Source organism: Homo sapiens, chromosome 3, assembly GCF_000001405.40.
Source record: "Homo sapiens chromosome 3, GRCh38.p14 Primary Assembly".
Lineage (NCBI taxonomy): Eukaryota > Metazoa > Chordata > Mammalia > Primates > Hominidae > Homo > Homo sapiens.
In genome coordinates this window covers 83,230,746-83,245,602 of record NC_000003.12, presented here as the reverse complement: position 1 = coordinate 83,245,602, position 14,857 = coordinate 83,230,746, and the positions used below count along the sequence as shown (strand labels likewise).

The 14,857-nt window shown below is 32.5% G+C and overlaps 1 long non-coding RNA gene across 2 annotated transcripts in view; it reads right to left on the bottom strand.

The window, feature by feature from the left end:
• Positions 1-14,857, bottom strand: part of LOC101927439 (uncharacterized) — a 58,245-nt gene that overhangs the window by 28,522 nt on the left and 14,866 nt on the right. The window contains exons 2-3 of one of the 2 annotated variants that reach the window (XR_427355.3): positions 14,029-14,084; positions 11,391-13,390 (exon numbers count right to left, since the gene is read on the bottom strand). This is a non-coding gene — a long non-coding RNA (uncharacterized LOC101927439). Of the gene's footprint in view, positions 1-11,390; positions 13,391-14,028; positions 14,085-14,857 lie in introns of those variants that run through there. The other variant, XR_941002.2, reaches the window with a different exon arrangement.

Below are 14,857 nucleotides of genomic sequence, written 5' to 3'. Positions count from 1 at the left end.
TGCAGATGACATGATAGTGTATTTTGAAAACCCCATTTCTCAGCCCGAAATCTCCTTAAGCTGATAAGCAACTTCAGCAAAGTCTCAGGATACAAAATCAATGTGCAAAAATCACAAGCGTTCCTATACACCAATAACAGATAAACAGAGAGCCAAATCATGATGAACTCCCATTCACAATTGCTACAAAGAGAATAAAATACCTAGGAATAAAACTTATGAGGGATGCGAAGGACCTCTTCAAGGAGAACTACAAACCACTGCTCAAGGAAATAAGAGAAGACACAAACAAATGGAAGAACGTTCCATGCTCATGAATAGGAAGAATCAATATCACGAAAATGACGATACTGCCCAAAGTAATTTATAGATTCAATGCTATCCGCATCAAGCTACCAGTGACTTTCTTCACAGAACTGGAAAAAAAAAACTACTTTAAAATTCATATGGAACCAAAAAAGAGCCCGCATAGCCAAGACAATCTTGGGCAAGAAGAACAAAGCTGGAGGCATCATGCTACTTGACTTCAAACTATACTACAAGGCTACAGTAACCAAAACAGCATGGTACTGGTACCAAAACAGATATATAGACCAATGGAACAGAACAGATCAAACACTTAAACATAAGACCTAGGACCATAAAAATTCTAGAAAACCTGGGGCAATACCATTCAGGACATGGGCATGGGCAAAGACTTCACATCTAAAACATCAAAAGCAATGGCAACAAAAGCCAAAATTGACAAATGGGATCTAATTAAGCTAAAGAGCTTCTGCACAGCAAAAGAAGCTATCATCAGAGTGAACAGGCAACCTACAGAATGGGAGAAAATTTTTGCAATCTATCTATCTGACAAAGGGCTAATGTCAAGAATCAACAAAGAACTTAAACAAATTTGCAAGAAAAAAAACAACGCCATCAAAAAATGGGCAAAGGATATAAACAGACACTTCTCAGAAGGAGACATTTATGCAGCCAAAAGACATATGAAAAAATGCTCATCATCAATAGTCATTAGAGAAATGCAAATCAAAACCAAAATGAGATACCATCTCATGCCAGTTAGAATGGTGGTCATTAAAAAGTCAGGAAACAATGGATGCTGGAGAGGTTGTGGAATAATAGGAACACTTTTATACTGTTGGTAGGAGTGTAAATTAGTTCAGCCATAATGGAAAACAGAGTGGTGATTCCTCATGGACCTAGAACCAGAAATACCATATGACCCAGCAATTCCATTACTGGGCATATACCCAAAGGATTATAAATCATTCTACAATAAAAACACATGCACACATATGTTTATTGTGGCATTATTCACAATTGCAAAGACTTGGAACAAACCCAAATGTCCATCAATGATAGACTGGATAAAGAAAATGTGGCACATATGCACCATGGAATACTATGCAGCCATAAATAAGGATGAGTGCATGTCGTTTGCAGGGACATGGATGAAGCTGGAAACCATCATGCTCAGCAAACTGTCACAAGATCAGAAAACCAAACACCACGTGTTCTCACTCATAAGTGGGAGTTGAACAATGAGAACACATGGACACAAGGAGGGGAACATCACACTGGGGCCTGTCGGGAGGTAGGGCCTAGAGGAGGGATCACATTAGGAGAAATGTCAAATGTAGATGATGGGTTGATGGGTGCAGCAAACCACCAGGGCACTTGTACACCTCTGTAACAAAACTGCCCATTCTGCATACGTAACCCAGAACTTAAAGTACAATTAAAAAAAAAAGATAAAGAACATATCTATATATACTTTAGGAAAATGCTAACTTATTTGCTTTGCAATATTTTTGTGAGTACGGTGTCCTTTTATGTTTCATTCTAAGCTTGTTCCCCTGTCAGTGTATCATTAATATATTATAATGACAAAGCTTTCTATTGCAACAAAATTTTGAGATCATTCCTCCATACCATTAGATAATCATGGAATATTTAGAAAATATACTGTCATTTTTAGCAGAAACTCTTTTATTATTGTATAAATTTAAGGTGTACAACATGATGTGTTGTAATATATATATGTATATGTGTTTGTATATATATATACACACATATATGGATAGTGAAATAATGACAGTAAGTAAGCAATTTAACATATTCATCACCTTCCATAGTTACTTGTTTTTTATGTGTGTGGTAAATCCACTTAAAAATTGACTCTCAGAAATTTTTCAGTATACAATACAACTGTAGTCTTTCTGCTATGCATTAGATTGCTACACTTACTTAATTCTACCTAACTACAAGATTGTACCTTTTGACCTACATCTCATTTCCTCTCCTGTCCCCAACTCTGAGAACCACCATTCTATTCAAGACATTATGAAAAGTGAAATCAGTCAGACACAGAAAGAAAAACACTACATGATTTCACTTACATAAGGAATCTGAAAAAAAAAAAACAAGTTGAATACACAGAAATCAGCACCACTTTTTCTCTTTTCCTTTAAATAAAACGTTTCTCTAAATCTCTAAATCTCTTTTGCATCAATTTGCTTGTTTCCTCTAGGTCATTAAAGTTTTATAGTATAGGAATCCTTTCTATGTTGTTAACTTATCCTATATTTCTTCATCTCCAGGAATCATTTTCTAAACTACTCCTGCTGATTTTTTAATATTATCTATCATCTATATATTGGTTGATTGATTGATAAGTCTACCTATCTAGTTACCTACTTATCTATTACTCTAAATTGCTTTCCTAAATAAAAAGCTTGATTTTTGGAGACATGCTGTGTGTGTTATTTATCTTATTCATCATATGGTAAAGAACATCAAATGTGTATTCATATAAACATTTACTAGTAAGCAAAATTAAAGCAAGATTGGTTGACTGAGAGGTAGAGAGAGACATTAATAACAATATAAGTAAAAAGGAGGCCATAAGTTCATAAAGTCTCTAAACATATAGGTGAATGCTAGACACATATGAGACTCTAAATAACTATTTGTTAAATTAAAAATAGAAAGTATTGCAAACATACTTCAAAACATAGATGAAAACTTGTGAATTTTAGAGGAAAAAATCAAAGTGGAAAGAGGAAAACCAACGAATATTAAGAACACTGAATACAATAAATCACAGTTTTAAAAAGTCTTTCCCCTAAGAAATATTGGTCCAAATAATATTGCAGGTAAGTTGATTGCACCTGAATATGCAAATAATTCATATTTTCTACAAACTATTTCAGAAAATAGAAAAGGAGAAAAAGCCATTCAACTCAGTACACGGTATTAAAATCTTAAAAGCAAAATAACATAGTACATTATAAGAAATAGGTACATTAATTTCACTTAAAATATTTTAAAATCTCCTGAAATAACATGTTAACAAATAAATTGAGCTCTGCAGTAAGATGTTTAAAACATAATAACCAAGAATAGCTTAATTCAGGTAAACAAAGACACCCAATATGAAAACTCTGTCTGTATTAACCTATTTAAGGAAAATAAATAAAACACCTGTTTATTTAAATGGTTGTAGAAAAAAATAAAATTCAAAATCAATGCATGGTAATATAACTTAGAAAATTAAAGGTTGATGAATTCCTTGATCTGTAGCCAACAATGTAATTACTACTCCTTCTTCCTCCTCAATTTCCAGTTACTACATATTATTAGACCAGATTGTGAACTCTACATTCATTCTGTTTTATAATCTATGTATCTATTCTAGGACCTAACTATATATAAATATTTGATAAATTGAAAAGGATAGAGAAATTGATACCTTTCTTACAATTTACAATTAAATAACTTGCTAATGAAGTAAGGAAAAATAGTGAAGTTAAAAACTAAAAAGCAATTGGAGAACTTATCAGTGTTCTTTTATACAATAAAAAGACAGAATTCATAAAATAAAATAGTAATTTTATTAAATTTAATCATAGAACATACTATGACAAAGGAAACATAAAGTCTATTTTCGAAGAAAAGGTACAAAGTGAATGGAGATATTTTCAGCATATAAAATAGAGGAATAAAATTAAGAGCATATAAAAAGAAATTTCTACAAATTAGAAAAAACTAGAAACAAATAATTATCAAAGGTAATACATATGCAATTCAGAGAAGAGGAAATTGAAAATATTACAAGGTGTCAACCTCTAATTATTGAAGAAAGTCCAATTAAAACAAAAATTATTTCGCACATTTGGATTGGTTAAAATCTAAAATCTACATTCTGAGTGCAACAATGTGGTAGGAAAAGAGAAATTTGTATATAATTGCTCTCTCAAATATTAATTAGTACAATCTCTTAGTGAAGATATTTGTCATTTTCCAGTAAAGTTGATGGTATATGGCATGCATCTAATGAGTTTTATTAAAGAGATGCACAAGAAGTAGTTTCAAATATTAATTTAACATGAAGTATTGGTTAAGTGCATGAACTCCTGAGTGAGATGGTATTTGAATATTGATACCATCAATAACTAGTTCTGTGACCTTCAGGAAGCTTTGTAAACACTCTGTTTCTAATTGTTCAAGTTTCCTCATCTTTAAAATGCGTCTCTGTGTGTGGGTACATGGGCAGGCATGTGTGCATGCATACATGTGTATGTGTATGCATATATAGGTGTATACGTGTGAGTGCATACACACGCCCACATATAAACATATATATATTTCCTGGTTATATGGCTGATTTATGATGGTAGTTGTTTTTGGAGAACTACACGGGTACTAGAACTGGGAAAGAAACCCGCATGAAATTTCAACTTTATTTGTAGTTTGTTTTCATAATGAAAAAGATGGGAAGCAAATATATTATTTACATTGTGTTACTTTGTAGTCTGTAGACAGTAGTCTGAAGAAAGGCATGTACATTATATGATTTTTCAAGAATTTGTGTATAGTCTTAGTAATCACAACAATATATAAATACAGAAAAAAAGAAGAATGGGAAATGAGAAAGTGGAGACATCAATATAGACAATTGGTTTGAATAGCATCATCTTATTAAAGATGAGAAAATGTTTGAATGCCATTGAGAAGAATTTACTTGAGAAAGGAACTCATGATGCAAATAGTAAGAAGATGTAGTATCAGCAACAAGCTCTTGTGTAAGGTGTTTGTGACTGAACCTCTGGTTCTAGGTGTTGTCTTTGGGAGCTGCAGCGACCCACAGGTATAAAAGACACGACTCCAAACACTATATCCAGAGGAGCAAAGTACATTTTTAAAACAGCATTGAGACCGGGCGCGGTGGCTCACGCCTGTAATCCCAGCACTTTGGGAGGCCGAGGTGGGCGGATCACAAGGTCAGGAGATCGAGACCATCCTGGCTAACACGGTGAAAACCCGTCTCTACTAAAAACACAAAAAATTAGCCAGGCGTGGTGGCGGGCGCCTGTAGTCCCAGCTACTCTGGAGGCTGAGGCAGGAGAATGGCGGGAAACCGGGAGGCGGAGCTTGCAGTGAGCCGAGATCACGCCTGGGCGACAGAGCGAGACTCCCTCTCAAAAAAAAAAAAAAAAAAAAAAAACAGCATTGAAGGACAATGCAATTCTCTTGAATCTTCTTTCCTTCTGAAAAATATAGATGCATTTTATTTCATTACTTAGTTTTGGCATAAATAACTGTTCAATTGGTAGTAGCATCTCTTTGTATGTGTGCATGTGTACCTTTAAAAAAGAACATACTAATTCTAATGTCAAGCGAATGGAAAATTATAGAAAGTCTTTAATTATGTCATTATGTTCTGAGTACTTACTCAAAGGGTCACTTTGTGCAATTTGGAGTACTTACTCTCAAAGGGTCACTATGTGCAATTTGGAGTCCCAAGGAGGAAACACATTTACTAGCCTTTATAATATAATGGTTTAGTATCTGTGGTAGAAAACAATCCTGTCCTTTGTAGTAAACCTCAATTATTTGATTCACTTTACCTAAATGTATTGATTTGCAGATTTGATCTCAAATCCGCAATAAATGATATTTTGCTGGCTTATTTTTGTTATTCTTTTTGGTTCAGTTGATAATTTAGTCACCCACATCTTAACATTTTTCTGTGCATAAATTCCACACTTAATGTTAGTTTAGGTATTTAAAAGCCATGAGTCAAATATGTTAAAGAAATTAGAAATCTGGTGGATAAAATGATCTCTGATACAGTAAAACAAATAGAACGTTTCATCATATTTATGTATGCATGGATATATACACACGTATATACCCAAATGTTCCAAAAAGGTCTTGATTCCCTCATTCTTCTATCATAAAAGTCATTCAATACAAAAGGATTAATTTCAATTGCAAAATAAATACAGTCAAACAAGATCATATCTAAGCAGTACGTCAGCCTAAAAGAGCCCCTTGAGTACATGATAAATTAAGCATAGCTTTACCTAGCAATACTACTTTTAACCTTTCAACAACGAATGCAACAAACCTTTTCAACTGCGTGCAACAACTAGAATCAAGATTATCCTAAAGGAACCGATTACATATTCTAATGCAAAATCGTATTTCAGTATTTGTCCTTGCAACTTTGACCACTTAAGAGGAATATCATTTTTACATGTCAGTAATAGAAATATGTAAATAAGATATTCCATATTATAGTTCATAAAACAGCAAATGTAACAGTTTAAGAGAAAATGAGAAGTTATTCAGATATAATGTGATCAAGTTGAATAATTCTCATTTTTTCTAGATTTTTCAGCCTAGCTAATCAGTTTAACAAATTGTTATTCTCAACTGTATCCTGTTTTTAAATATTAATTTAACTCATATTTAAGATAAAACATATTATATTTAGGTTTACTATTTAAACTAATACACAAGACTTAGAATATCAATTCTCACCCATCCTATGCAAGTGTGTGCTTTAGAACACAGTTTGAAGAATTGCATACAGTGTGTGCAGGGTACTTATAAGTAATCAATAATAAGATTGTTTTAACCCATTTAATTAAAGTATTGTGGATAAATTAATTTGTTTTTTATTTGCATAAAATTTAAAGTCATGACTAAAATAAGTTTCACTTTGCAAGTATATCTGCACATAGAGAGGTGAACAACATTAATCATTATATATAGAAATTTATTAGATTTACAATGCTCGAGTAAAATTAGTGACATAGAGCAATTTTTATTTTTAAAGTATTTTTTTTCTTAAGAGTTCATTGTGCTAAACAAAATTATATCATTTTAAATGCAAAGATAAGCCTCTGAAAGGGTACTCTGAATCCATAATATTCCTTTCAGCCATCCTACTCTTGTTTAGGTTAACCAAATGGCATCACACTTTAAGTTACCTTTACGCAATCGTACACAATAAAAACTAAGAAGTTAATCTCATAAGAACTTGAAATGTATCAATATAACTTAGAAAGTTATATTATTTATGTTAATTAAAATACAGAATCATAATTTTAGTGGTATAAATGCATTTTCATGTTTAGACTGGACTTTTTGATGATTCTCAATTATATTTCTAAGTAATTAAAACTATAGTTTCACAATTGGAAAACTATAGTTTCACAATTAAATGTAATAGCCAACCAAATATGCAAAATGCTTCAAGGCTTGGAGAGAAGCAGAGTTAGCGTTTTAATAAGCATGTGCTTCCACTAAAACATCATTATGTGTTACTTTCATGGATTGTTTGTAACCATGCTTCTAGAAAATGTTCTAAATAAGTTGGTAAATAAATTGCTTTTTGTAGCAACACATTATCTTGCATTAGCTGTGGTTTCCTTTACCATTTAGACAATAATTTCAGCATCATTATTTTATCTTGGTACAGATGATCAACATGTGTAAACAATGTCCAGGAATAATCTGAGGGACATCCAAGGCTGTTGTTGACACAATATTATGCCAAAAAAAAATCTTTTCCCTTCTCTCCCTCTCTCTCCCTCCTCTTCCCTTTGTAGCTGTGGGTAAAGCACCATCCTCTCATTCTATCTGATCAATTAATATGTCCTAACACAATAATGCCTGCCTTGAAATACAGCACAAAAATGTTTGCAAGAATACCTTTTCCTTATTTTGAACTAGCTGTAACTTTTGGCTAAAGGCCAATTTTTTAACTGGGACAAATTTAATATTTTCTTTAAAATTGCTGAGCATGAAATAGCATTCTAAGTCACTATTGGCATTTCACGACAACTACAAACAAGCTTTCTAGCATGACAAAATAGTTTCCTACATTGAAGATCACTTTTGATCTTCTGCACAGACCTTTGCTGTAATGTTGCATAGAATTATGAAAAGGAGCTTAAAATGCCACCTTCCTTTCATCAAGTAATTGTATTATAAAAAGATGCAGAGTTCAAAAGAGATTTAGAAAATTATGCAGACTTACTTTTCTAAATGTTACATGGTCACTTATATTTTTACCAGACTGTATCTCCTTCAGATTTTTGAAAACACTTATCAATGTATGGAACCAGGAATATAATATTTTATCAATTATGATTTATATAGAGTGACATTATAATGAGATCATAGATAAATTTAATGCATATAATAGGGACTATAGAGATATGATAAAAGGTGAATACTCTGTGTGAGCTCTCTTGCCATATCTCACTCTCCTTTGAGAAAGATGAACCAATCTTATTGAACTGTCTCTGATACTAAGACACAATTTAGTATACTTTAGTGAACCTTTTTTTCTTATCATATTGTTGCTTCTGCCAGGAGCATCTTTTTCCTCTTTTCAACCTAATGCATGGTTCTTTTCATATCTTAGGTTATCTGGCAAGCATTGCCCAAGTTTCCAAGACTGCGTGAAGTGTCCATCATACATGTTCCTAGAGCATTTTCTTTGCACTTAACAATATGCTTTGTAATTTCCTGTTTGCTTGTTTCTCCTAAGCTTTATGGTTAATTTTCATTATGTTGGAATATGCCTGATGTATATCCTCAATGTTACCATTTAGTGCTTTTTCACTAAACATATGTTCAATGTATTAATAAATTATTAAAAGTCTAATTTTCAAAGTAATAAATTTTTTATGTATCTGTTTTTATTTTGGTGCATCCCTCTCTCTAATTCACTTTTATTTTTTTGCAAATGTTTAGTTCTATCCCCAAGTTAACAATATTGCTAGAGTTCAATCCTATATAGCTGATAGAATGATGGTGGTATTTATAAAAATCTAAAAGCTGAAAGACATAAGGGTTGAGACAAAATATTAGAGAAGGCTGAAATTGTCTCATAAAATTGGGTTTGTGGAACTAGCAAAGTATTTGGAAAGCAATTTCTGGGAGGTAATAGAAGTTGAAAGTCTAGAGCTTAGGAGAGAATCTAGAGCTGAGGATCTGAAATTAATCTGCATATAGTTAATATATAAACCTGGGGTTTGGATGATATGGTTGAGTAGATGACTAAGAGAAATGAGGACCGTGAACCATAACCTGAAGTGGTTCTTCCCCCCAATATTTAATGTTTCAAAACAAGAATAGGAGCAACAGAAGCAGAGAAGTAAAATTCAGAGGAAAACTGGAAATCTGGGTATACAGAAAATAAGAGAGGAATTTTTTTAAATTGTGGTAGTCTTTTTCAGTACAAAGGCTGAAGAAATACCAGGATAATAGGGCATAAAAATGGCTATAGAGTTTGGTATCAGGAGGATGTCAAAGACATTTTCTCCAGAAAATTTTGTTTTCAAACCAGTAATTCATTTTGAAATCAGGATAATAAGCAATGGCAATGTAAAAAAGTAAGGAAACATTAAAAGTTTAAATTATTCCCTAACTTCTAAATGTTTAAAATCCAGTTCAGGAAATAGGTATAATAGAGCTGAGGTTTTTTGAATCACACCATATAACAGGTATTGTATTCAGCACTTTCTTCATTGTATACTCTCATAACAAGCTTGTGAGATAAGTACTATATTAACCAGACATTGAAGAAATGTTAACCTTAGCAATATTAAATACTTCCCCCAAAGTCACAAACATAGGCATACCTCACTCTACAGTGGTTCACGTTATTGCATTTTGCTGACATTGTGCTTTTTACAAATTGAAGGTTTATGGCAATCCTGCATTGAACAAGTATATTGGCATTATTTTTACACAGCTTGGGCTCATTTTGTGTCCCTATGTCAGCATCTTTTACCAATGAAGTATTTTTTATTAAAATGTACACTTTTTAAGATATCATGTTACTGCACACTTAATAAACCACAGTATAGTGTAAACATGACTTTCATATGCACTGGGAAATAAAAAATATTTGTCTGACTCATTTTATTTCCATATTCGCTTTACTGCAGTGGTCTGGCACTGAAACTACAATATTGACACTATTGCCACAGTATGCCTGTAATGAATGTCTGGCGTTTCATTCGAAAATTTACTCAACTTCAGCTTTGTTTTTTTTTTAATCAGTTTTGATCTCAGGAACTATAACACTTGATAGATTGCAAGAAGTTTTAAAATGGAAGTTTCTTCTATATGAGAAAATTGGTTGAAGATTTATTTGACAATATGGAAAACGTTTATACGTATATTGTGAGCATTTAGGAGGTAAAAAGTCATAAATACCTATTAATTTTCTGCCTATTACAATATAATATCCTACCCAACACTGCTATGCATGTACAAAGATGACTTTTGGTAGCCAATCCGAGCAATATTGGCATTCTTCCAGACCTTTACCTGTAGAGATAATACTATATAATCTAGGTTAATGGCATTCTTTCTTATGAACTTAGACTTGGGCTAACACATTTGTTTATAATTCTGTCCTTTTAATGTTGCTGTGTAAACTTTGGTTTTCTGGATGGCCATTTTATTCCACTTGAAGAGTGGAGTAAAGAAAGATCACGTGCAGTAAAAGAAATGAAGCAGATAATCAAAGAAGAGTAAATATGTATGTGTGTACATATATTTATGTGTCTGTGCATGTGTGTGTGTTTGTGTGTGTCTGTGTATGTGCATGTGAAAGTAAAGGGTTTGGACTACATTCTCCTTCAATATTTTACCCCATTTTCTAACTATGAATGCATTCCTTGTATTTTATTACATTAAACAACATATAACTTTGAGGAAATTTCCACCACATTAGTGTCAGTGTGTTTGTTACATATAATTAAAGTCTCCTAACAACTATAATAGCAGATGTGAAATATATCACAAAGAAAAAAATTAATAATACTTGAAAATGTGTTGTCATCAGGGACTATGAGAGATGGATTATATTTTGATCTCAGAGATTTTAGTTGGATTGAAGGAGAAGTCAATAATAAAATGAACTGAAGTAGGACAATGAAATCAGTGGAAAAGGCAATAATTTTGGAATCAACATGTTATGTTTGATTTTCTAGTAGACAATGCAAGTGGAAATTTTCAGTAAAAACCTAGATATAGGGTTCGATAACTCAAGGCTCTAATTAAGACTGAAGTTAGATTGAGATGTGATTTATTGAAGAATGACATCGCATAGAGAGATAATATAAGGAGGGAAGACAAGAAAGCTGAAGAGAAAGGCTTAATTAAGACTTAATGGTTGACTTCCAATTCCAGCAAGGACAGAGTAGAGGGTGTCGTCCTCACTCTCACATCGCATACATTTATAAAACATGGTAGATGACATTAAACTTTTTTTTTGTACATTACACAACAAAGATCATAAAAGCACTATCGTTGAAATAAGAGAAACGTTTTAGGTGAGTGCCACAATTACCCTGGTTGTCCACATGGAGTCGTTTTCTAAACTTCAGTACAGAGAAATACGTTTAAAACAGAACAACATAAAAGAGAGCTGCATTCTGGTTTGCTGATGTAGCTGGAATTTGCAGGGCAGAGTACCAGAGATGAGATAACTATGAAAAAAAGAAGCTCCAAAAGTTTGAATAGGTCTTTTTGACTCTTTGGTCCATTATTAAATTGAAAATATTCAATGTGAAACTCCATAAAGTATGGGAGATAACAGATATCAGCTCGGCGAACAGCCTACTAAAAGGTTGTGAGGTATGTAAAAACTCTAGAGTCTCACGGTGATCAGAGACATTATACCTAAAATCAGCTAGAGAACAACAACCTCACTCATTATCTAGACAATCAATTGTGGTCCCAGGAAGGTCTCGTTTTAAGTGCAGTGCTTTAGACCAGCAGTGTCAGAGCTAAACATAAGCCTTCACAAGACAGAGCTAATTCACCACTAAATTAATTGTCTTCTAGAACAAATTTCAAAACTCTCTAAAGAAATAAAATTAAATCCAGACTCTCAACAATTTAGAACCTCCAATGCCAGCATAGACAAACAAAATTGAGATACGGAAAAAAGAAGATAAATGAGACATATAACCAAAAGAAAAATATAGTCAACAGAAACAAACACAATAATGAAACAAAGCACTGAAAATGTTAACAAATGTTCACTATAAGTGGAAATATGTATTATATGTATATACATATACATTTCCTATTTTTTAATTTCTTTAAATATGAAGACACTGGGAGAATGAAAGTAAAAGGGTAGAAAAGATATATTTTGAAATAGTAAGCATAAAGAAGCCAGGCTGGTTTTTTTGAATATCAGATAAAGTAGGCATCAAGACAAAGATATTTGCCATTAATAAAAACGGATATTTTATAATAAATAATTAATTTTTACAAGAAATAAAAATGCTTATTTTTCCATACTAAAGATAAAAAATTCAAAATTGGAGACAACTAAAAACAGATATAGGCACATCCACAATTACTAGTGGAGGTTTTAATACTCCTTCTTGGAAATCGGTATGGATGGTTTTTTAAAAATCACTAAGTATTCAGAAAAATTAAAATAACATAACATAATATTATTTATACTGCATTAAACGAATCAACTCTAGAATACACTTTTTTTTTCCCTCAAGAGCACATTGAAAATTCACCAAATGTGACCATATGATAGGCAATAGAAAGGCCTAACAAATTCAATGTATTGCAGTCTTAAAGAGAACAATCTTTAAAATCAATGGAATGAGATTAAAGATCAATAGCAAAATTATAAGGAATATACTCATATATTTGGAAATTAAGAAAAATATTTCTATGTAACTGAGTCAAAAAAAGAAGTAACAAAGATATTAGAAAATGTTATGTATGGAATAATTGTGAAAACACAGCAGATCAACTTCCGTTGAATGAGTCTTCCTCTTTCACCTCTCTACTCTTATCATATGGAATGATTTAATACTAAAACATTAGGTGTTGGAATAAAAGGCAGGTATCCATGATGGAGACTGTGGAGAGAGTTGCATAGCAGATCATGGCGTTGGAGCCTGAGCAAACTGAGAAAAGTGTCTGTGTCAAATGGCTGCCTCTCAGGAGGTATCACATTATGGAGATTAGGATAGTGTCTGATTGGTCAAGTAGGTCCAACGGACTAGCCCACAAGATGACATCTTGGTGAAAGCTGTCAGAACAAGTAAGGTAACATTTACTCCCCATAACAACTGTTGAATTATTTTCTTCATTTTGTGGTGAAGAAGACAGAAACTGAAATATTAAATAGCTTCTGCCAGGTAATGCAATTAGTAAATAGGCCATATTGTGGATATATAATAAGTATGCATTAACAATACATTAACATTAGCAGAAAGCATCTGAACTATCGTTGCTTGTAAAATGAGGAAATTGCTTCCCCTGTGTTAACATCATAAAAGAAAATTTTAACAAAAGTTCAGAAAGTATGCATATTTCATTGGCTAGAATTTCTTTTAAAATGTTTTTAAAAAGGAAAAGCTAGGCAGGAGATTATTAAAGTATAATATGGTAAGTCATCTAAATAAATCCATAGCACTAAAACAATGTGTTGGAAGAAATTACAGGAAACCTGTTATTTCCAAGCTTTTGTCAGTTTTTTTTTCTGTTTCTACAGGTAGAGACTAAAGGTAAATTAGTCTTTTGTTTAGTACAATGCATTAATCACCTTTTGGTTATTAAAGGAAAGGCATTGTCTGTAATAAAACGTTTAAGATAAAAGGGACCTGGGCTGCTTTGCATAAAAACGTAAAAAGGTATTTTTGGTGGGCACAAGATTATCAGACTTACACATGATAGTTGGATTCTAGGTAGTCCAGAAAGTGATGTTGGATAAGGAATCAGTCCTGCAACACAAGAAAGAAACAGAAAGTACAAGCTGTTAAAGAAAACCAAAACGAATACTAAGGTTGTTTAATCTAATAGTCTAATTTTAAGAATCTAATACTACTTTTCTATTTTTTAAATATATATGCCACTTTTACCTCCTTTTAAGGCACACTGTACCTCTTCCTCACCATGACCAATGTCCTCTATCTTCCTTATCTCCTCCCATATCTATTAAACCTTTAGTTAAACAAAATCCTTACTTACGTTAAATAAAATGCATGGGAGACCATTGATTTGGACTGAACTCCAGTACTACGCCCCAACAGACCAAACTAAAATAGAATCCCTTATGCTAGGTGCCTCATAATCAAACTGAAACTTTAAAGAGGCAGGTAAATTTACAAACAGACCAGTTTTTTGTTTTTTGTTTTTTTTTCTGAAAACAGGAAATCCACCTCGACCAATTGGAAAGGGCCCAGTCAACCTGACTCACTGTAGCAAAGAAGTCCCCTCTACTTTAACTCCTACAACAAAAGCAACTGACTGTTCATCAACCTGACTCTTAAAAAAAATTACGTTTTCTCATTTTCACCTTGCAAAAGCCACCTGTTTTGCCAAGCCCAAGGGAGCACTCATAATATTTTATAGAATGAAATGCTGCCAAATTCTAGAATCACAAATAAAAGCCAATTAGATTTTTAAACTAAATTTGTTGTAATATTTTTCTTTTAACACTTGTATTTGTCTTTCTTAGTAGAGCCTTGGGAAATAAAAAGATAATTGTGTCCTT